Genomic DNA, 25,394 nt, shown 5'->3' with positions numbered 1-25,394 from the left:
TTACATTTTAAAAGTCAGTAATTTCACAAATTCAGATCTAAAGTTATATGTTAGTTTGGATTCTGGAAAATCAAGATGGTGATAAGATGTCTGAGGGTGCTATTTTCTGTAAATATAATAAATAATGTGATTCTATGCAACATCACCTATGCTCCTTGTTATTGGTTGAATCATATACTCCCAACATATATTAAAGTTCTAGTCTCCAGTATTTATGAATGTGAGCTTATTTGGTTGTAATTAAAATACAGGTTAAGCTTGGGTCACAATAGAGTAGGTTCTTAATTCTGTGTGGCTACTTTCCTCATAAGAAAAACAGAAGAGATACAGAGACAGACACAAAGAGAAAAGACACCATGTGATGAAAGAGGCAGAAGCTGGAGTGATGTATCTACAAACAAACGAGTGCTAATGTTTGCCTCAATACCAGAAACTAAGAGAAAGGCATGAAACAAATTTTCCCCTAGAGCCTTCAGATAGAGTATGATGTTATCACCACCTTGATTTTGGAATTCTTACCTCCAGAACTGTGAGAGAAAAAATCTCTGTTGTTTTAAGCCTATATTTGGTGCAAAAGTAATTGTGTCTTTTAATGGCATATATATCATATATATAAAAATATATCTATATACTCTATGTTAATATATAGTGTATATATTAGATATACTATATGTTAATATATCATATATACACTATATATATAAAATACATATATATGCATATAAACAAAATTCTGTATGGAATATACATTAAAATTCCTCCCTCTCATTGAACATTGTTAAGGTAGGCTATCTGTGATCTATGTTAAACTTGGTCAAAAACAATTTTGAAAAAATCTTGATAAAGTTTCCTATATAATATGGTTTGGCTGTGTCCCCACCCAAATCTCAACTTGAATTTTATCTCCCAGAATTCCATGTTCTGGGAGGGACTCAGTGGGAGGTAATGGAATCATATGGGCCTGTCTTTCCCATGCTATTCTCGTGATACTGAATAAGTCTCATGAGATATGCTGGGTTTATCAGGGGTTTCTGCTTTAGTTTTTTTCTTATTTTCTCTTGCTGCTGCCATTTAACAAGTGCCTTTCACCTCCTGTCATGATTCTGAGGCATCCCCAGCCATGCAAAACTGTAAGTCCAATTAAATCTCTCTTTGTTCCTAGTTTTGGGTATGTCTTTATCAGCAGCATGAGAACAAACTAATAAACTATAGTTTCTCTTTACTTCAGATATATAAAAATAATTTTCAAGTTTCAGTGAATGAACATTGACTTGTTGTTATTGTTACCCCAGGATTCTCAAGAGTTCATAACTTCCCGGTCCTATATAATTGCACTTTTAGTGCAATTAGTTGTTACAAGTTGCATCTCTGAACTGTAAGATGTCCAATCAATGTTATTTGAGCAGAACTGAGCTTGCATGGCCTGAAGGATTTTAGTGCAGTTTAAGAACTCTCATGTAGCTCTAAAACCATTGCCAAGGTACTGACCAGGAAATCTAGCTTACCAAGTCTTCAACAAAAGTGTTCTGGCAATACAAAGGTGTCCATAAAACATTATGCTTTTAAACAATAGTCCCTTCTTGAGTACTCTATAAAGTACTTATCAAGAACTAATGTAATCATTAAGAAAATACTGAATTTCCTCTGAATAAGGCTACTTTTGTAATGCAGATTTGGCAAAATTCAACCCCAGCTTGTGTGTGTAATGTGTGCAATTTGGGCAATCAGCAGGACAGATACTTCCTGAAAGTGGATAATAGTATTGCTTATTGCAATTCTAATAGCAATTCTGTAGAGCTTTGCCAAAGAAAACTTATTCCAATCATTGTGAATCTTGCTCTTTTATGTTTAAACCAAGAATAGAGTTCGATATGACTGTGACTGACAAGATAAAATACATACTTGATGCAGCCTTCTTAAGTGTTGTTAAGGTCAATTCAGAAGGTAAAGGAATCAGGCATCTGGATTTTGCTTTTCTTCCTTCCTTTCTTTTCTCCTGTATGCATTACTTTCTATTCTTTGTATTATAGAACCCTGAAGTAATCATAAAAGTTTTCATAAACAGTTAACCTATTTGCTTGCTAGAGAAAGCAGAGGATATTAGTTGTTTATTTTTTCTGATGCATACGGATTTTTGAATCGAAAAGAATAAAGTACAAAGTAATGTTATGAAATTTAATGCTGAGTCTAGTCTCATCCCAATGTCAACTCATGAAGTATTGAATAAAAATAATTGTGGTGTAGTGAATCATCCTATTTGAATTTATTACTGGTTTATTGTTTTATATTTGTGTTATCAGTCACGGTTCAACCAAACACATGGAACCAATGGGAGGGAGGTATATATTAAAAGATAAGGTATTGATTTACAAGTTTGTGGAGATGGTCAAGGCAAGTCTGAAATCTGCAGGGCAGGCTGGAATGCTCTGGGATGGCCTGAAGTTGCTATCTACAGGTGGAATTTCTTCTTGCTCAGGCAAACCTCAACTTGGTCTCAAGGCCTTTCCTCTGATTAATTCAGACCCATTCAGATTATCTAGGGTAATCTTTTCTCAGAGGCAACTGGTTATGAACATTAATCACATTTACAAAAAACCTCCACAGCAACACCTAGGCTAGTGTATTAGTCTGTTCACACACTGCTGATAAAGACATACTCAAGACTGGACAATTTTCCAAAAAAGAGGTTTAATATGGACTTACAGTTCCACATGGCTGGGGAAGCCTCATAATCATGGTGGAAGGCAAGGAGGAGCAAGTCACATCTTACATGGATGGCAGCAGGCAAACAAAAAGAGATTGTGCAGGGAAACTCCCCTTTATAATGCCATCAGATCTCATGAGACCCACCCACCATGAGAACACCATGGGAAAGACCTGCTCCCATGATCCAGTTACCTCCCACCAGGTCCCTCCTATAACACATGGGGATTCAAGATGAGAATTGGGTGGCGACACAGCCAAACCATATCAACTAGTATTTGAATGAATAACTGGGTAGAGCTGCCTAGCCAAATTGACACATACAATTAACTATCACAATTTATGTTACAACATTATTTATTTTCCATACTAGCTTACTAATAATGAATAGTTATATACTTAGTAAAATAAAAAGTTGAAAATTTTCAATTGGTCTCAAAATAATTTTCTGAAATTTTTCTTGTCTATGAAAGCCAAAAGTCTGGAAGACTGCTGAAGCATAATATTCTTCTCCTAAATTCCCATTTCACAGATGGAAAGATACTGAGCCCAGACATAAACTTAATAAATTTTGGGGAATATGTTTTCATTAGTTTTGTTGAATTAAATTTTCTAGTATAAGGCTTACCTTGTTGTCCTTTAGGTTAAATGAGACCGTATCAGTTTCCTATTGCTGTGTAACAAATTATGACAAAGTTTATTACCTCACAGTTTCTATGGATCAGGTGTCAGGGCAGAGATCCTCTATTCAGAGTTTCATCAGGCTGAAATCAAGGTGTCAACAGAGGCTGTGATATCACCTGGATTGCAGGATTGTTTCATATATTCATTTGTTTGTGGTGGAACTTAATTTCTTGTGTTTGCAGAATTGAAGTCTTTGGCTTCTAGGACTGCCCACCATTCCCCGACAATGTGGCTTTCTCCACCACAAAGCATATTGCTTCTTTCAAGGCCAGCAAGAAAGAGAGTCTTTGATGGTTTCAACCATGCTGACTGCTTCTTTCTCTGACCTCTAAATCCTCCTTTAAAGAACTCACCTGATTAGGTCATGCCCACTCAGCTAATCCCTCTTTTCATTAGTTTAAAGTTAACAGAATAGGAATCTTAAAAGGTGTCCATCAAATCCCTTCCAATTTGCCACATAATGTAGCCTAATCTTGGGAGTGATATCCCTTCATATTCATAGGTTCTGCCTATAATCAAGGGGTAGGGGATTATTCATTGCATGCATACAAGAGTGCAGGAATCACAGGAGTCATGTTAGAATTCTTCCAACTACACAGAGTCAATCATTTTTTCAACATCATCTTATTCCTACTTTAACTGGGACAAGATGAAAGAAAGGGGAGAAAATTTAATCCATTTCATGTAACAGTGCCTTTGGGATGACACTGAACTGACTAAAATTGGGTTTATAAAAGTAATAATCACCAAGCATTATTATGTAATAGATTTTATTCAACTAAATCAATGTATAATATAACCTAGATAGAATTAAACTGGAAAAAAAGTACAGAGATTTTTACAAGCTGTAGAGATAATCAAAAGAAAATGGGATAGAGATCATGGGTTGACATTTTTGCATTGTCTCAAGCTACGAAATTGGGCAGATAGATTTGCTAAATGATAAAGTCTCTTCTCATTTGACTGCTATTCAAACATACAATTCCTCATCATGTAATTTTGATAAGAAGTATAGTGAGTCAGAATCATAATAAGGGTAGAAAAATACTTCATTAGAATATGAGTGAGCTCTGCACTCCTCTCAGGGTTCAAAGGTCAGCAGTCCATGGCTCTTTCATATCTGCCTTGGCTTTCATTCTTCTCCTCAGAAGTGGATTTACTATGACATGAAAGAAACGTAAACATTAGGCCTCTCACTTACCCCTTCCAAGGCCCTAGTGGCTTTTGTGATATAAGGCAGATTATATGTTTTCACAAAATATTCAAAATAGAAATATTTTAATGTAAGAGGTTAACACTGCTGTCTCGTTCCATTTTAACCTTCCCTTTATTATCCTTTCCCTTGAGGTAGGTGGCATTGGAACAGCTATGAGCAATTTTGGGATACAGAGAAGTAGAAGTTGACTTGGGGATCCATTTACTTGGGTTTCATGGTGATGTATTATGTGGTTCACAGTCAGTTCTGGGCATAGTTATCACTAAATTTAGTTATTATAAATCTGCCCAGTGTAGCAACAGTTTCCAGGTATATTTTTGCCACCTCCTCTGCTAACTCACCTAGGAATATGACATAAAGATATTAAGAAAATCTTGTTAATGAAGGTCAACAAGTACAAGAATATTTAAAACCCAGCATAGTAAGAGAAAACTTGACATGTTTTAAAATAAGTCAACTCATGTGTAAAAAGAAAACCTGATTGATCATTTCAAAAGCAAAATTTCCAAACATTTACATGATGAAAATCATGAACCAAAAATAATTGTAAACTATTATCAAAAGTTGTTTTTGGTTAACAATACTTAAAGAAAGTCTAAACTATCTTTGTAGTCTCTCCGTAGATAATAATATTATAAATCTGTTATATCAAGATTCAATCAACGAGTATAGAGTCAAATAATAAATGAAAAAAAGTATTATAAAGGTATGTTAAGCGGCTAAATAATATAAAATACTCTTATGTTTCTATGATCTTTGTGTTCTGTGATTTCTTAATGTTTCTTTTCTTATTCTAAATAAATTTCTACTTTTATTTTTAATTTTGTATTACTTTTCTTAAAGAGAACCATCTAGATTCTTGTAAGCCTAAAGCTGGATTTATCCCGAAGCTCTTCCACTTTGTTATCTCAAAGACTATCTTTTGTGGTAGGTTATAACCACTCTCTAATATTGTGTGCTATTTTATGATGAGTATTATTTATTTATTTATTTATTTATTTATTTATTTATTTATTTTTGAGGCGGAGTCTCACTCTGTTGCCAGGCTGGAGTGCAGTGGCATGATCTTGGCTCACTGCAACTTCCGCCTCCCAGGTTCAAGCAATTCTCCTCCCTCAGCCTCCTGAGTAGCTGGGATTACAGGTGCATGCCACCAGGCCCAGCTAATTTTTTAATTTTTAATAGAGACAGGGTTTCACCACGTTGGCCAACATGGGGGACCTCAGTTTCTTGACCTTGTGATCCGCCCTCCTCAGCCTCCCAAATTGCTGGGATTACAGGCATGAGCCACTGCGCCCGGCCCAGTATTTATTTTATATTGATATGGAAAGTTTGTTTTCATATACAGTTAACACTAACCAGCTCTCTAAACTTTGCTGTGGCTTAACTTCTTTGAGTTTCAGTTTCCCTGTCTGTAAAATTGGCATCCAATTGAATGTTTCATATAGCAGTCCCCAAATAAATGTAACTTTCATTGTTTTGTGTCACTATTGCTATTATTCTTACACGTAGTGGCATTCTAAATAAAGTATTTTACCCATAACTGAAGTAGTTTGGCAAAATACGTTCATTCAAAACATGGGCTAGCAAACAAAGGCAAAATTAAAGAAGCATTTTCTGAGTGAGTCATACTTGCAGATAAAGGAGAATGATAACAATGATATGACTCTAAACATAGATTACAGTAGAGCCTCTCCAATATTTTTCCTGAAGTGGCTATCCTATTAGAAAGTACTATGTACACACTGAGTTTTGGCATGTGATTGAATTTATCTAATTAATACTGTTAAAACACTTGAACTGTTATACAAATACAGAAATTGGCTTGGTGAACCTTTTATCTAATTCTGCAGCAGGATAAGTAGAGGTGGTAATTGAAGAATGGAATACGGACATAGGGGGATTGTTCCATAATTCAAAAGGAAGATAGATATTCAACCTGTGTCTTCACAGGGAGAAAGGGCTGTAAACAGCTATAAAATGCACCTATAAAGGGAAATCATTTGAAATAAAATCTATAGCTGAAAACACAATCATATTAATAATTAACATCTGTGTGGCGATTTGTACTTTCTAAGTTGTTTTCACCTATGTGATGTCATTTTTCTGGAAGCATAAAATAGAGATGTGTACAGAGCCTCTGTGATATATTTGGTATATGTTCACTATCCTACAATTAGTCACAGAACTCATGATTTCTATCACTAATTTATTGTGTTATTTCCACTACCACAGAGTGTAGTCAGTTGTGTCATATAAGAAATGAGGAAAGAAAGAGAAAGGGAGGAATCAAGTAGAAAAGAGATATACCTAATGTAAATGACGAGTTAATGGGTGCAGCACACCAACATGGCACATGTATACATATGTAACAAACCTGCACGTTGTGCACATGTACCCTAGAACTTAAAGTATAATTAAAAAAATAAAAAAAAAGAACGAAAGTAGGTTGTCAGTAGGGTTAAATAGGAAACTGGTATTTTAGAACATGCCCCTTGTTGCACAGTATCTCTTAATGGCCGTTCTCACTGAGGATGTGAGCTGGGCTTGGTGGAAGCACTATCACAAGGAGTCCTGCCAGGGTTAGGAGGGTTGCACTACTAAATTGAAACAATAGAAGTGTTTAGAAGAGGTGACCCAAAGCAATATATTTGCTTTACAGAAAAGAAGAAGGGCTGTGGAGAGGGGTCAAGGTCTGCGGTTAGAGCTGGGAAAACAGTAAAGAATGTAAAGTCCAAAGAGCAAGGCAAGAGAGACATGAGACACTGAATATTAAGGTCGTATCAAGAAAGTCAGTAACAGGTTGGAATCACATGTGAGGAAGACTGATGGGAAAAGTGCAGATATAAGGCTTGTGAGGTGAGTATGTGCTTGCCCTGGCCTTTTACACTGTGCTCAGGAAAAGCAGTGTATATAAAAAGTATATATAAAAAGTAGTAGATATAAAAGTGACTTAAAGAAACATTGTGCTTCAGGTAACAACTAAATATTTCTTTAGATCAACAGATTTCTATTATTCTTAGTAGCATAACTCTCTTTAAAATAATTATTGTGCAGAAATTTGATATATAAATGGATAAAAAAAGAATTGATCTTATTTAGGTGCAGGTAGAATCCAAGGTGATTTCACTAGCCAGCCAGCTGGGCCCTCAGCCCTTTGGGATCCCCTCAGTAGCTTTCCTGAGTATTAGAGCCTGTATGGTTTGAAAACTACTCTTCTAAATCTTTGAAGACATGTCCTTATATCAAGTCACATAATCAGAAACTGATATATTTAGACTTTATTAAATTGGTTGTCTATCACTGAATAATAACTTATTCATTTTTTGTTTTTAAAAATTTATTTACCTTTATATGTTTATGGGGTACAAGTGCATGCATATATTGCACAGTGTTGAAGTCTCTGTTCTTAATGTACCCACTGAATAATAATTCAATATGCCCTGATTTTTTATTATTATACTTAAAGTTTTAGGGTACATGTGCACAACGTGCAGGTTTGTTACATATGTATACATGTGCCATGTTGGTGTGCTGCACCCATTAACTCATCATTTAGCATTAGGTATATCCCCTAATGCTATCCCTCCCCCCTCCCCCCCCCCACCCCACAACAGTCCCCAGTGTGTGATGTTCCCCTTCCTGTGTCCATGTGTTCTCATTGTTCAGTTCCCACCTATGAGTGAGAACATGCGGTGTTTGGTTTTTAAAGATCAGCACAAGAAACAACTATGAGAAATGTTGTTTTTTTAAACATTCAGTAGAATTGCCATTAAAAACCTTGTTCATTTCTTGCTTATTTTCTCTGAAATGATTTCATGTGATAAATATATCTTAGAAAATTGGTCTCAGGGACTGGCTATTATTATTTTTCCCATCTGTGATAAAAGGTAAGATTTGATGGATTCTAAACATCTCTTCAGTTATTAAATTATATCATTCTAAACAACTTGGTTAATTAACATTTCTTTTAAACACAACGTTTATTCAGGAAGTTACTTTGGAGAAATCTTTCTGTTTTCCAGGCTCAGTACGCCATCTGTGAAAACAGAGAGGAGTTTGGTTCATTCTATCATTTCTCCATCCCTCCCTCTCCAGTCTCAAGGGTCTGTTTCTGTTCCCAGACATGCCAATCTTATGTCTGTATTAAACCTGTCTCCACTTGCTTTTATCTCTGGCAGAGCCTCACTAGTTGGCACCTCCTCATTTTTCAATTTTGTTTCAAGTATCATCTTCTTAGGGGAAATTGCCCTGCTGTCTCCATTTAAAGTTGCTTCTTTCCGTCTTCTTCACTTTATATCACTTCATGACTTGCCAAACAGTAGGCATTTAATAAATATTTGTTGAATAAATAAAAACATTAAAAAATTTAAAATGAAGAATCAATTCCTAACACCAAGAGCTCACTAATTGGTTAGAGACAAAGCTATAAACAATAATAATATTTTAAGCACTCTAATGAAGATATGTGCTACATATAAACAAAATAAGAAATGTCTATGCTAGGGAATTCTAGGCAAAGGCAATCACATTTGAGCTGTGTTTTGATGAATGGATAGAAGAACATCAAACAAGGAAGTAAGAGAAGAATATGCCAGTAAAAGGGAAAATGTGTCCCAAAATACTGAGTTGGGAAAGATCACAGGGAAGAAGTTCAGAAGGTAAAGTAGCTTCAGGATTATGGAAGCAATGTTAAAACGTGTGGACTTTATTCTGTAACTGCTGAGGATTTTTGAAGAATTTTAAGTGAAAAAGCAACATGAATTAGATCTTTGGGTAAAATAGATTTCACTTGTGTAACAGCGAAGAAAACAAGATAATGGGTTTTGCTGTTTCTTCTGAAGAAAGAGGAGTAGAATTTCAATCATAGGCGGAAATGTTCCCTTGAAGCAGGGCACAGAGCCATTTGCATTAGTGTGTGTGTGTGTGTGTGTGTGTGTGTGTGTGTGTGTGTGTGAAACATACACACAATGAGCTTAAAAACAGACAAATAACAAATCCAGATGACATAATAATTCCAGTAAAAAAGGGGAGAAGGAAAATAATGTCTAATAAAAATAATTTCTGACTTAACAGTAAGTAGGAGCCATTTTTTTCTAGGCTTACCTAGACCGGCACCTATGCCCAGTTGGTCAAACATTTTCTTCCAGATTCACTTGAATGTCAAGTTCTAGGCATAAGCTTAGGGTTTCTCATAGAAACACAAACAAGGCCTGATATGTACTCATTAATGAATTCTATGCATTTTCCTTAGTCTTGTGCGGTAATTATGCTATTTCTAATGGAGAGAATGATCACTTTTCCCTGTCACTACCCAAGAGCATCTCTAGCCTTCTAATTACCATTCAATGTTTACTCAATGGATAATCATTATCAGATTAACTTTCAGTGATGGAATGTGTAATTAAAAATGTAGATCAATAAAATGCTATTATGGCTGGATACATTAACACTTAAAAATAATAGCAATTGAATAAAAAGAATTATTTGTTTAAATTTAACAAACACAACTGTTAGAATTTTCTCCTAGAAAAGATATGAGTTGAAATGTCTGATAAATCTATGATAAAAACTCACACAATAATTACTTCTGTATAAAAGAAACTATGTATAAAATAGGTCACAAAGTTTAACTAACTTCCCCAGAATTTGTGGTGGCTTTTCATTGCAACCCATGACCTGAAAATAGGTTAGGCCTCTTCTAAGGCTGTTTCCTGAAGGGTTCTTTGTTTCTTCTTTCCTTGCAATGTGGATTCTCTCAGGTCAAGACCAGAAATTTACTGAAGTAGCTACTCCTGGACTCCCTGTTTCTGCTCTTGGCCCTCTTGTCTTTTATTTGCTGCACAGGAACCAGAGTGGTATTTTTGAAAACAAATTAGCTCATGTTACTGCTTTTGCTTAAACATTCTTCGTTAACTTCCCATTGTATTCAAAATAACATCCAATGTCTGTAAAATAGCCAATTCCAATATTCTGGGTATTTTTCAATTACAAGTGGATATTGTGTTTGTCAAAGGATTTTTTAGCGTCTATGAAGATAATCATGTATTGCGTTTTGCTTAGATCTATTAATATGTTATATCATATTAATACATTTGCTAATAGTGAACAAATATTGCATTCTTCTCATAAATCTCACTTGATCATTGGGTATTATTTTCTTCTTGTGACATTGGCTTCTGTTAAAAAGGTTTTATTCTAGTTTTGCATAAGTGATATCAGTCTGTAATTTCCTTCCTGTCTTCAACCTTTATCAGGTTTAGGTATTACTGTTAAAGAGAAATTTCAAAAGTTCCTTCATTTTCTAGGCTCTGGAGAAAGTTATACATATCACTGGGGCTATCTTTGGTCTTTGGACATTTGGTAGAACTCTGATCTAGGATTTGTATTTATATGTTTTTTTAAAATACCATTCTCTGTTTTCTTCAATGGAAATTGACATAGTTAAGCTTTCCATCTCTACTGTGGTCACAGCAATCTATAACGTAGTCTCTTAAAACATTTTTGAATGTATTCTGTTTCAATGGTTATTTTCCCTTTGTCATATCTTATTTTATATTTATGTTTCCTTTTTCCCTCGATTAAGTTGACTAGCAGTCCATCTATTTGTTTTTTCTATGCTCTACATATATTTCTATGCTCTTCAAGACATTTGCTTTTAATTTAATCATTTTGTTTCTTACACTTGCTTTGAATGCACCATTTTCTTAGCATTTTAGATAGAAACTTAATCCCATTGTTTTCCGTCTTTTATGGTTATGAATTCATTTATTTGTGTATATTTTAATTTTCCATTGATTCTTATTTAAATATGTCCCATTGATTCTGATTTATTATATTTTCTTATTAATTTTTAGAAACTCTATAATTTTAATTTTCTTTTTCACTCACAAGTCATTTATTATATGATTTTTTTCATTTTCAGGTTAAAGGGCCTGAATTTCTTTATATTGTTATTAGTTCTACAAAATAAAAATCTGAGCACAATAATATTTTAAAGAGTATATTTGAGTAAGAAGCAATTCATGAATTTGGAAACACCAAACTGAAAGAGGTTTAGCGTTCCAAAGGCAAATTTTCAGAAGCAGGTAGTTATGAATTAGAAGGTGAGTACAGAAGCAAATAAATTATTTGATTGTTGCAGTTACAAAATTCCCTTTTTTGGTTTATCTTTTTAGTCCATTTTCTGCTGCTATAGCAGAATACAACAAACTGAGTAATTTATCAAGAAAATAGATGTATTGGCTCATGGTTCTGGAGGCTGGAAAATCCAAGAGCATGATGCTGGCATCTGGTGAGGATTTCATCCCATGGAGGAAGGCATCACATTGGGAGTGTGCAAGACAGAGAGAAAATGAGGACCAAGCTTTATTCTTTTATCAGGAACTCACTGTCTCAATAACTAACTCACTCCCACAATAATGGCATTAATACATTCTTGAGGGCAAAGTCCTCAGTATCCAATCACCTCCCAAAGGTTCCACCTCTAACATTAAATTTAAACATGAGTTTTAGAACATTCAAACCATAGCATGGTTGGAAAGTGCCTAAATAACCAAATGTTAACTGACTGCTTATCAATGGCTGAGGTTGTATAACATAAGCATTTGTCAGAAATGACCCTAGTTAAATTTTCCATATGTTTGCAATTTAAGCAAGGTTAGGGCTATTTTCATTGTTTTTATTGTTTCTGAAACAGGGTCTGGTTCTGTTGCCCAGTTTGGAGTACAGTGGTGTGATCATAGATCATGGCAGCCTCAAACACCTGGGCCCAAGAAATCTGGGCCCAAGGGAGGTGCCAAGATGGGAGGATACCTTGAGCCCAGGTGTTTGAGACAGGCGTGATCTGTGATCATGTACACCACTATGCCCAGCTAATATTTCCAATTTTGAGGGAGAGATGGGATCTCACTATGTTGCCCAGACTGATGTCAAGCCCCTGGACTCAAGCAATCCTCCTGAGTTGGCTTCCTAAAGTGCGGAAATTACAGATGAGAGCCACTGCATCAACCGGTTAAGGCTATTTTTAAAGCCCAGTTGGTTTTGCTCAGGAATTTACAGGCCTAGTACCTATTTTAACTTTGCATTAACAATTCCCCTCTTTTGGTCATTCTCTCAGCAAGCTAAGAATGTGACCAAATAGCATAACATTAATCTCAGTTACCACTATTGATGTAATTGCTGGAACAAAGAGTCAAGTAGATGTTGTTATTATCAATAGGTTCACTAGGGTTTAGCGTCATATAACCACCATCAGCAATTCCATAGTCAGTATTGGTTTCCTTGTCTGACCATGATGGAAATCATCTGACATGAAAGGAACGGCTGGAAAGCATTTAAAACCCTCGAAAGAATACAACACATGGAGTAAGAGGTAAACATAATAACTATAAAGAGAACAATAGCCAAGGATTGAAAAATTCCTCTGAGCAAAGATTACCAGAAGCCAAGATTTAACCAACTGAATAAATAATTGCAGGAGGCAGTGCTTATCTGATTAAAAAAAAATGTACTTGTATTTAAGATCTTTTAAATTGAAGGCATGTCTGATTTGTTAACATAGAAATAACACTTTTCACAATTAGGGCAAAAATTCCTCTCAAGCCGTTAAAATATCAATACAACTACTATTTTGGAGTACTATTGAGGCCAAATTATTTATGCCAGATTGTACTATTTTAGGATAATTCAAAGTATCATTTGAACTTTTTTCAAATGATACTTGCTGGAATATTAATAAGCATGTTTTCAATTTAGAGACTGCCAACTGAGAAAAAAATAATTCTTACAAAATAATGAAATCTGGAACCCCTTTGTATAATTGGGTTTGGAAGATCATAAGAGGCTCATTTGTAGGGGTCGCTTTACATATGAATGACACTAAATTAGTTTGACTTGCATTTAAAAAGTCATATCTGGTCATTTTAAGTAGGAGATAGCCCAAACCACAGCATTCAGATTATTTATGTAGAAAACTTTTATATATGTTGTTGCCACACACAACGAATAATCCAGTACTATTAAAGGAAAAGGATCAAAGTGGATCCTATCACCCACCAGTTGGAGGTGATATAAATGTCATGGTTATTTGTTGTCATATCTGCATCTACATATTGCTAGGCTAAACTTGTATGGTTTAGATAGGAGTAGAAACAAAAAACATTTTATGAATTTGATAAAGTAACCCATGTATGCCATAACCAACTAAGAATTATTGATTTCCTCCTCAAATATGCTTTAGATATTGATATATCCAATAAATAAGACTATCATTTATTTTAGATAGTGGAACTAAAGAAGCATTCCATTTGCCTTTAGAGTTTCCAATAAACCCATGTCTAGTTTTGAGGAGTTGTCTGATAACATGGTTGAGGGTATCATTGTCATGTTCTGATTTTATATCTGTGTCATTATATATAAAAGTCTAGTCTTCATTATTTATGTAAAATCAAAGTGTTTCATTACAGAAGGAGTGTGTAATATAGCCTAGATTAGGTCCAGTTCCATTAAGGTTTTCTATGCCTGAAGATAAATTACCAGTAATAAAATCAATAGCTATAGGGTATCCCTTGTTTCTATTGCTTTTTGCCAGTGCCAAGTCATTTGAGCATAAATATGCCTGCCAAAGTAAGGATACCAAACTTTTTATAAATCCAGCTTCCTAAATTGATCACCCAAGTGTGTACTGGTGCATGTTCTAGTATTCATGGTGGTTGTGCCCATTCATCTAGATGACTACATAGCCAGCAATTGCTTTCACTAATGAAAGTAGCTATATTTTCAACAGTAGACTATAGAAGATATGCAGTATAAATAGTAAAATTTCCTAAAAAATAAGAGTTTGAACATTTTTTGTTAATGTAAAATAGAAACAAGTTTTAGTCAATGGAGTGGAGTCAAATGGACTCTTGTTCCCCATATTGGTAAAGCTGTCTACTTCATGATGTCATTTGCTTCTAGGGAAGGCTCTCCTTTGCATAGCCTTAATTTTAAGTCATCTGTATTTAACAAGTACAAAAGTCTAAGGGAATTCTCTTTATTTGAGAGACATTGACCCAAGGCTCAAGACCCTGAGATTTTGCTGCAGTGTGTGTGGTAAAAAGAACCAAATATAGTATCTTCCAGTGATGCTCAAAGGCAGTTTTTCTGTGGTGTTATATCCAAAAAGACCCAATCTCCAGATTCTAGATAATGAAAGGCCTGATCACCATTGCTAAATGGGTCACAGAAACCATCTTTCATTTGGTGAAAATATACTTTGGAATAATGCATCAAGGTCTTGCAGTATTGAGTCAGATTTAACAAGTGCAGGAAAAACATGGTGTTCCATTATAAATGGCATAGGTATTTCATTAATTATTTTATAAGGAGTCAGTTTGTTGTACCCATAGGAATTGATCTAATTGCCACTAAGGTCAGTGGTAAAACTTTTGGCTTAGGTAATTCAGTCAACTCTGTTAGCTTAGCTAATTTTAGTTTTAAGATTTTACTTTTAAGATACCATTTGCTCTTTCAATCTTTCCAGAAAACTGAGGATGATGAAGGCAATGTTAGTGTCATTGGGTTTGTAAAATCTCATTTAATTTTTTGATAATCTGTCCAGTAAAATGGTATGCCCTATTGCCAGAAATTTATTTAGGGATGCCCCACAAAGGAAACAAATATTTTAATAGTTTTGCTACTGTTGTGACATCATTCTTTCTGCAAGGAAAAGCCTCAATCCCTCTTTAAAAAAAGGCTCTTAATCACAAGAATATATTGATATCCAATTGAAGTTGGCAATTGAATGAAATCCATCTGCAGATGTTCAAATTGTCCAGCATATGGTAGAAATATGCCACTGGAAACCTTCAGGGTTTTTTTTAGTATTATGAGTTTAACCAGTCAGACATTGGTTATAAACCATTTTGACTGCTTTAGAACAATCACCCCATAAGTTCTTTTTCATAATTTGAACCGTTTTGTCTACTTCGTGATGGGTTGTGGAGTAAAGAACCTTTAACAGTAGCAATTTTAGGAACTCAGGAAGCATGAAATGACTGTCTAGGCCTTCAGTAGGTCCCATTTAACATTTAAATTTGCATCACTTTATATGCTATTTTTGTTGTTCCAATTCAGGTGCACAGCATTTTTTATTGAACAAATTATCATAAGTGATCTGATTGGGATACGTTTTATGAAGTTCATGAAAATTAAATATTTTAATAATTTTAGTGCTCTCTGACCTGATATGAAAGCCTACTAATGCATTTCTTTCATATTCAGGTTGTCTTACAAGTATAAGCATCAATGTCAATAATAGCAACCTATGAATGTAGCAGAATAGCTGAAAGAAGTTTATCCTATTGAACCCCATTTTTGGTGGGGTTCCACTGGAAGTGAGAAATTCTCTGTTTCTGTACTATTCCAAAATCACAGACAACTCCAAAGGCATATGTAATATCTGCATACATATTAATCGATTTATCTACAACAAGCCTAGTAAGAGCATATAATTCTGCAAGTTGTGCTAAATAAAATTGTGAGAGTGTTTCCTTTTCTATTAGTTCATGTTAATTAGTTACAGCATATCCTTCTTCATATTTCCCTTCTATAATTTTTGCATAAGATCCATCAACATAAAGTATTAATTCAGGATTACCTAGTAGTTTCCTGTAAGTCAATGTGAAGAGTCAATAGTTATAATGTCACACTTATAGTCTTCTCCATCTTCAATCAAAGGCAGCACAGTGGTAGGGTTAAACAGAATATAATATTTGAGATGGAGATTAGAAGATAAAAAGAGATGGATTTCATATATTGTTAGTCTACTTGAGGAAAAATGTTAGGTGTAATTGCAATTTAATAAGTTTTTGACTGCATGTGGAACTTGTAGGTAAAGCTCATTCTCTAATACTAAGTGAGATTAGGTTTCTAACAATCTAGTTGCTGTGGCCACTGCTTTTAGACAAATTGGATATGCTCTGGCCACTGCATCTATCTGTAGGACATAATAACCAATAGGTTAATGTCATTGTTCCTGAGTTAAGGACTTCCAAGGCTTGATGATCACATTTGTGAACAAACAAGGAAAAATTATTTATTACTTGGGAGCCCTAATGTTACAGGTTGTTGCAAAGCTCAAAACCTTTTAATTGTCTTTGAGTTGTCAGACTAAGAAACCCTTCAATTATCTTCACTTTTTCAGGTAAAAGGGAAATTCATTCTGTTGTCAAACTATGTCTTCAGTAGTGGACCTTTTATGAAGAGAACTGAAGTTTTTCCATAAAGGCCATATGACCCTTGTAAGCTAACTGCTGTAAAAGATAAATTGAATCTTGATAAAAGAAGATAACAGTAGATCATGAACAAATTGAATTAGAGTGGAATTTCTAGAAAATTTTACAATTGACAAGTCTTAGTGTAATGCCTGAAAGAAATAAGATGGGGTTTCAGTGAACCCCTGTGGCATTACAGTTCAGGTACATTGCTGATTTTTCCAGGTAAAGGCTAACAAGTGTTGGCTCTCCTAACAACTGGAATACTAAAGAAGACGGAGCAGAGTTGTATCACCGTGAACGACTTAGAATGTGTAGGCACATTAGATAACAAAGTGTTAGGATCTGCAACCACAGAAAATATGCATACCCTAATTTTATTTATTGTATATATGCCTTGAACAGATCTCTAACCCCATCCATTCGATTTTGTTTTGTTTTGTTTTGTTTTGTTTTGTTTTGTTTTGTTTTGAGACGGAGTCTTGCTCTGTCACCCAGGCTGGAGCGCAGTGGCGCGATCTCGGCTCACTGCAAGCTCCACCTCTCGGGTTCACACCATTCTCCTGCCTCACTCTCCCGAGTAGCTGGGACTACAGGCGCCCACCACCACGTCCAGCTAATTTTTTGTATTTTTAGTAGAGACGGGGTTTCACCGTGTTAGCCAGGATGGTCTTGATCTCCTGACCTCATGATCCACCCTCCTCGGCCTCCCAAAGTGCTGGGATTACAGGTGTGAGCCACCGCGCCGGGCCCCATTCGATTTTTTAACTAGTAAAATTGAAGTCTTACAGGGAATAACAGAAGGAATTGTAAGTCCTTGTTTTACTAATCTTCCACAATAGGTGAAAGTCCTTAAATTGCCTCTGACTTTAGCAGGTATTGGGGCAATTTAGGCAATAGCTTAGAATAGTCTATTTGAACTTTCATATGTTTAGCACATTTAATTTTTTCTATGTCAGCTGAAGAAGAAGCCCACATATATTTGGGTACTTCAGAGAGATCTGGTTTTCCCGTAAGTTTTGGGTTCAACATTATAAACTCCTGTTTGTAGGGAACAGAACAATTGAGGTTCAGGAGGGCCAGGAAACTCTAGGAATAATTATCCTTCTGAAGAGAATGTTATGCGTCCTCTCAATTAGGAAAGCATAGCTCATCCCAGTAAATTTACTGGAATGATATTACATAGTAGGAAGGCATGCCTTTCTGAGAATGGCCTAAGAGTCATTTGGACTAATTTAGACACAGGAATTCTCTGACCTTAATTTGAAAACACTACCACATAAATATTTTCTTTACTCCAAGAGATTTGTTGATTTAGTAGGCTGGGGTTTAAAGTGGATAAGGTGGCTTTGGCATCCACCAACACTATACATAGTTCCCTGTTGATTGAGATCTTAGTTTCCCTATGTTTATTTAAGGATATTATGAGAATAACTTAGTGGAAAATCTCTTGTAGCCCCATCCGTGTTGATTATTGTTTCAAGAGTCAAGCTCTCGGGAATTTCATCTAATGCAGAAACAATCTTTTCACTGTTTTATTTCAGCATTTGATTCTTTTCTTGTTCTAAAGTGCTCTCAAAATATTCAGCTATGGGGACTGCTTCAGTCATATCAGTGACTTCCCATTCAATCTTATGGGTTGTTGTTTTTTTTTTTTATTTTGTTTTTATCAGGTCATGCAGCTCTGGTCAAAGCCAATTAATGAATAGGGCCATTAAGAACCATTTCAGTTCCACCAGGAAATACATGCTGCTATATTTTAAGACCAGAGTGTTTAACAACTAAGACTTCCAATTTAGCCCTGAAATCAGAAAGAAATGTATCTCTTTTTTCTATTTATATGATTTAATAATGTACCAGTCAATCTTTTCTGGGAAGACAATGGGAATATCTTCTATAAGTTTTTCAGGCAACTTAAGAGCCATTTCTAGAAGTGTCTCTTGAAAGGTCATCAGCACTTTCCTGAGGCTTATCCCATCTCCCTGTAGTTACCTATTTATTTTCTTCCCCAGGTTATAATATCATGTGCATAAACTGATTCAAATCAGGGATCACCAGGTTATAGGCCCCTATGAAGATTCTAAATTCCTCAGTAATTCTTTAATGGATTTTCTCTAATATTTGAAATATCTTTTGTTATAGCTCTGAGTTTAGTTTTTGACCAAAGAGTAAAAGTAGTTACAAGAGCCAGATCTGGCTGTTCTGAAGATCTAGCCTTATAAGACATTAAGCTAACTGTCTTTTTCTCGTTATTCTCGGGGCAAAAGGATAGTTGAGCAAAAGAGTTAGTAAGTTCAGGGCAAGAAGATAGTTGAATAAATGGGTTAAAGGTTCAAAATAACCTTTAGAGAAGGTAGAGGAGGATAAAGGGAGAAAAATGCTCATAGATACATCAGTTACCATATAATTTTATTTATTTTCACCCTCAATTTGTTGTTTAAGTTTTAGATGCCTTATTTCCCTTTAGTAAAGGGTCTTTTTAGAGAGTCAATTTTGTAATCAGTAAGTCTTTTAGAAGACTCTATATCCATTACAAAATGCATCCCATTGATACTGGGGTGTTCAAGGTTGCTTCCTTGCCAATAGATTCAATAAATGAATACTTTTATCTCAAATAAAACTTCTCCACTGCAACTCTAAATCATCTCCGGCAAGGTAGGTACAACCATGTCTCTAGAAAGGTGCAGGCTTTGAGTCCATAATTTTTGAACATAAAATTAGCTAGCATTCCAAATAGAGAAGTCCCTGACTCCTTAATGCTTATAAACCCATCACACTCAGTCCTTCTAAGCTTTTACCTACCCAATGCCTCCAACTGGAACCAGTTTAGTTCCTGTTGAATACTCAGTCCAATCTCCACACCAAATTGGAACAAATTTACTCAAACTCAGAAAGCTCAGGATGTAAAATGTGGAGCACAGAATAAGAAAGACACTTATTCAGGAACTCCGGTTGCAGGAAGAAAGCAGTGGGCACAATGAGCTCCGTGTGGACCTTTCACCTGGCTCCATGATACTCCCAGGAGTCACTGGTGATTGCCTTCATATCTCACTTCTGCCACCAAACTGTAAAAGAAAACTCTTAGGCATAATACAATTTTAAAGAGTTTAAGTAAGCAATTCTTGAATCAGGAAATGCCAAGCTGAAAGAGGTTTAGTGTTCCAATGACAAGGTGACATAGACAAGTATTTACAGGGTCAATGGTTGGTTGTAGTTACAAATTGCCCTTTTTTGGTTTACCTTATTGAAAAGTCTCTAGTCACATAACCACATGTTAGCTGGCTGCTCATCATTAGCAGGACTTTGTTTCTGTCTAACATAAGCATTTATCAGAAATGTCCCATGGAAAGTTCCACTTACGCTTGCAGTTTAAGCAAGGTTCAGGCTATTTTTAAGGTCTATTTGGTTTTGTTTGCCAGGAATTTTTCAGGCTTGGTCTTCATTTTAATTTTATTTTAACAGTTCCTAGTTTTATTCTATTGTGATACTAGTGTATGCTGTTATAATATTTCTACTTTATAGAACTTACTAGTTTTCTTAAATTCCCCACATATGATTATATTTTGTGACAGTTCCAATATTCTTAAGATGAATGTGTGTTTGCTATTATCAGGATGTATACTTCAATATGTAGCCATAAGGTTGTCCTTACTGATTAGGTTGATCAGGTCCTCTGTATTCTTACTTGCTTTTTTGGCCACTGATATGTCTTGTACAGAAAGTGGAATTTAAAATTGTTCTTATATTAGTGTATTTTTATCTATGTATTCATGTATTTCCTGTAATTTTTTCTTTATGAAGATAATTACTATCATTTTGTGTATATAACTTATATAATTATTCTAAATTATTGGCTTTAGCATTAGTAAAAGCGTCCTTTGTTGAATTTGATACTTCTTAATGCAAATTACACTTTGAAATCAGCAAAATAATGTCTACTTTATTGTTTCTATTTGCCTAGTATATATATTTTCCACGGTTTTGTTAGCCTTTTTGTATTATTCTTTAGACATGTCTCTGGTATACAGATTATAGTTGGGTATTTCTTTGCTAGACAATTTTGAAAATAATTTTCTTTTTAATAGGTGACTTCAGCCTATTCAAATTTATTGATATAACTGATATATAGAATAATTTTAAAATTTTCAAGTTAAAAAATACCTTAGTGACCATATAGCTAAAAGGCCTACTAGAAGTTTTAGTATGTTACATTAAAATAAGTGCAGAAATTGAATCAGACTCTCTCTGGACTCCCAAAATTCTAAATAAGGATGATAGAACCCCTTATGTTTTGGTAAGTGTGTGTGTGTGTGTGTGTGTGTGTGTGTGTGTATGCATGTGTGTGTGTATCTGTGTGTGTTTCTATGTATGTGTGTCTGTGTGTGTGTATGATATTTTCATATGCATCTTTTGAGCTACTCTACACACACACACACACACACACCCCTCAATAATATGAGCTACTTGGCTTTATGTACAACCTCCACCTCATTATTCCTCATTCTGCTGCCACGTGCATACAAACATCACTAGAATGCCAGGCACATGGTAGGTGGTCAGTAAATATTTGCTGTATTAATTAATAAATACATAAATAACCCAGAGAAAGAGCCCTCTTAAAAGTTAATTATATTTATTAAATTATGTGCATTCATCCCTCCAATTGCCTGTGGAGTAAAGTTATAGATATATACAATGTATTTATCTTTCTGGTTTGGGTGGAATATAGTCTCATTGTTTTAATGCATCCTGTTTTCATGTAATATTTTCTTTCTGTAATGGTTTCTAAGGTCAGACACCTAGTAACTGTCCGGCTATGAACAGTCCAGCTTATTAAACTGCACTTTCTGTGTTTTTAACTTTATCCCAAAATCATATCTCATTTGAAAAACTATTTAAACTGTTGCCTGAGAGCTTCAATAAAAACATTTCTACCACACTTGGCATATGATTCAGATTCCAGGCCCAACCCTACTATATTGACTAGCATAATTGCTCTTTTTAGGGAACCAAGGGAATTTGAAATAATGTTGATTTATTGGTGCCTTAGAAAAGCACTGGTATCACAGGCTTATTAGTGCAACTCCCTGGCATGCTTTCTCCCAGTTTCTGGTGTTCTGATTTAGTTTCCAGAAAGAATACAGACGCTTTAACTTTGAATCTGGATCATTAATTTCACTAAGTCATTTGGACAGCAGGGCACTTAAAGCTTCCTCAGCAATTTGAATGAAAGAAAACTTTGAAAATGCCTCAGTCGAATGCTTCTTATTCTAAACTGAAAGCTTTCATTAGAAATAGACTACACTGTTCATGGAAGATTTATGAGTATATGACTGAATCATTAATGACAGATATGATGATGATATGTGCAGCTTTCCAAAAGGTACAAGTGAAAAGCATCGTTTTTATTTTCAATGTGCCATGCATATATCATCAATTTAATTAAAATTAAAAAACATGCTTGTGAAGGAATTGCTATAGTATTCAAGTTGGGTGTTCCTATGAATACTTAGAGGAATTAAAAGTTATAAAAAATAAAGCAGTGACTGAAAACTATTTGGGTTATCATTTTTAAAAATAATTAAAATAAAATAATTTTTCTATTAAAAATAAATATTATTTCATTGTTTAAAATATTTAGAAAATACTGATTGACAGAAAAAGAAGAAAATGTCTCAGCTGCTTAAGATTTTGGTATTAAAAACTTGTAGAACTTTTTAATAAATATATATGTAGGGGCCTTCACAGTTTGTTTTAAATTAGAGTACCCACATCCATATTCATATCAGGGTGGACATTTTTCATGTTTTGATTGCCCAGTATCAGCACATTTTTTTCTATATTTGAGGGATTCCTTACCTTGTAAGTACTAACTAAAGGCTGATCTTGCCTGCGATTATTTGGCTGGAGACACTCTCCTCACTTTCCCAGATTTTTGACCAACATGTTTAGAAAGGTGTTCCTAAGCTTAGCTAATCATCATAGTTCATCCTAGAGCTACTGACATAAGAGGAAGTTTTTTCTTGCAACAACAATAAAGGCAGCAGGTCCTTCACTTTTCTACTGATTAAAATGGTGGCAATTCAAGCTGCAGTGTTTTAAAACGAGGATGTGTGAGTCCCTAAACCTTGTTTTCCTTTCTCAAGATTGTTTTGGCTGTTCTTAATCCCTTCCATTTTCATATAAATTTTAGTATTAGTTTGTCAAATTCTTCAAAAAAAATTCAGCTGAAATTTTGATAATGTTTGTTTTGAATCTGTAGATTAACTTGGGGAGTGTTGCTATCTTAATAATAACTACGTCTTCTGATCCAGAAACAAGGTTTGTTCCACTTCTCTAGTTTTTCCTTAATTTCTTTCAACAATGTTTTATAGTTCACAGCATATAATTTTTTCACTGGCTTTGTTAAATATATTTTTAAGTGTTATATTATTTTTAATGCTATTGTACACAGAATCATTGCAGATTGTTCACTGCTAATATATATACAGATAATTGATTTTTGTATATCAATATTTTGTTCTGCAACCTTGTTAAACTCATTTATTCTATTTTTTACTAGTTTCCTTTGAAATTTCTAAATATAAGATAATGTCATCTGAAAATAGTTTAATTTATTTCTTGTTAAGACATAAACTACCTTTTATTTCCTTTTCTTGCTTAATTATTTTGCCTAGAACTTCCATTACAATGTTAGAAAGAAATAGCAAGAGTCAATATCTTTGTATTTTTTATGATCACTCAGTCATTCCCCATTAACTATGATCTTAGTCCTAGATTTTTGTAGATGCCTTTTATGAGGTTGAGGAAGTTTCTTTCAATTCCTAGATCACTAAGTATTTTTTATTAAAAATGTGTTGGATTTTGTCAAATGTTTTTCTGTATTTATTGAGATACTCATGCAGTTTTTGTATTTTGATACAGTGTATTACATTGATTTTCAGATGTTAAAACAAACTTGTGTTCCTGGGGTAAATCCCACTTTATCATGGTACATCATTCTATTTACATGTTCCCTGGATTTAGTCTGCTATTTTTCTTATGATATCTTTATCTGGTTTAGGATAATACTGGCCTTATACAACAAGCCTGTACTTTTTTTATTTTCTGGGAAATGTTTAAAGTACCAATTGAGTCTCTTGATTTATTAGTTATAGGCCTATTTACATTTTCCATTTCTTCTTAAATAAGTTGTCGTTGTTTTGTCTTCTTAGGAACTTGTCCATTTCTTCTATCTAGTTTGTGGGTATACAATGGTTTGTCATATATATTCCCTTATGATCCCTTTTACTTCTCGAAAGTCATTAGTGCCCTCTTTCCTTTCTGACTTAGTCTTCTACCTTTATTGTCTTGGTTAGGTTAGCTTACATTTCATCAATTTCATTGATACAGTCAAAGAACTAATGTTTAGTTTTGTTGATTTTCTCTTTTGTTTTACTATTCCATGTTTCACTAATTTCTCCTTAATCCTTATTATTTCTTTCCACGTGCTTGCTCTAGCATTAATGTGCTTTTTTTTTTTTTTTTTGGTGTTCAGTGTCAACATTAAAGGTTAAGTTTTCTATGTGTTATCTTTCTACTCATTAAATATATCCAACATAGTTATACATTTCCCTGTAAGCATGGCTACTTTCACTGCATCCCATTGCCTTTTGATTGAAGTGTTTAATTCATTTGCATTTAGGATAATTTCTCATAAGTTAGAACATGATCTTCTCTTTTGGTTTTATTTTCTATTTTGTTCATGTCTTCTTTGTTCTTCTATTCCTTCTTCATGGTTTTCTTTTAGGATAAGTGAATATTTTCTTGTACAATATTTTTATTCCTTTTATAAATTTTTATTTATTAAAAATTTTTAGTGTTTCCTTTGGGGGTTACCATATATATCTTATCTTACCCTAATCCTCTACAAATTTTTACTAATTTAATTCCAATGAAATACAAAACATTGTTACTATATAGGTCTATTTCTTCTTCCTCCTTTATGTAACATTATTGATATACATGCTACATCAGTATGTGTTACACATCCAACACTCTGTTGTAAAAATTATTATTTTATATAATTTTAATTTTTTATAAAGCTGAGAGAAGAAATAACATCAAGCATATAATTGTAGAGTTTGTAATAATAACTTTCTTATTTACCATATCTGGTTTTCTTTACTTGTTCCTGTGAATTCTAGTTACTCTCTGGTGTCATTTCCTTTTTCCAATATAGCTTTGCTCTCACCCACCTCCTTTTGCTTTTATTGCCAAATATTTTACATTTCTATATGTCACAGGCTCAACAGTAAAATTATATACACATTACTTTATATAATTGATAATTAAAGAAATTAAGAGATGAAAGGAGATGAAATGTAATTACACAGTCTAATTGTCTACATAATTACCTTTACCAGTACTCTTCATTGCATATGTGTGCACACGCATGGATTTGAACATTTCTTTTTAGGATCATTTGCTTTCTGAAGAACTTTCTGCAGTATTTCTTTTCCCTTTTTTTTTTTTTTTTTTTTTGAGACAGAGTC

General features: G+C 34.2%; 1 long non-coding RNA gene across 3 annotated transcripts in view; it reads right to left on the bottom strand.

Annotated features, from left to right (window-relative positions):
• The window catches only part of LOC102723370 (uncharacterized), a 366,694-nt gene that overhangs the window by 272,549 nt on the left and 68,751 nt on the right, over positions 1-25,394 (bottom strand). The window contains exon 3 of one of the 3 annotated variants that reach the window (XR_007062621.1): positions 4,141-4,546. The exons of the other annotated variants lie outside the window; for them this stretch is intronic. This is a non-coding gene — a long non-coding RNA (uncharacterized LOC102723370). Of the gene's footprint in view, positions 1-4,140; positions 4,547-25,394 lie in introns of those variants that run through there. 3 annotated transcript variants of the gene reach the window in all.

Source organism: Homo sapiens, chromosome 11 (genome assembly GCF_000001405.40).
Source record: "Homo sapiens chromosome 11, GRCh38.p14 Primary Assembly".
NCBI lineage: Eukaryota > Metazoa > Chordata > Mammalia > Primates > Hominidae > Homo > Homo sapiens.
This window is presented reverse-complemented; position numbering and strand designations above follow the sequence as displayed.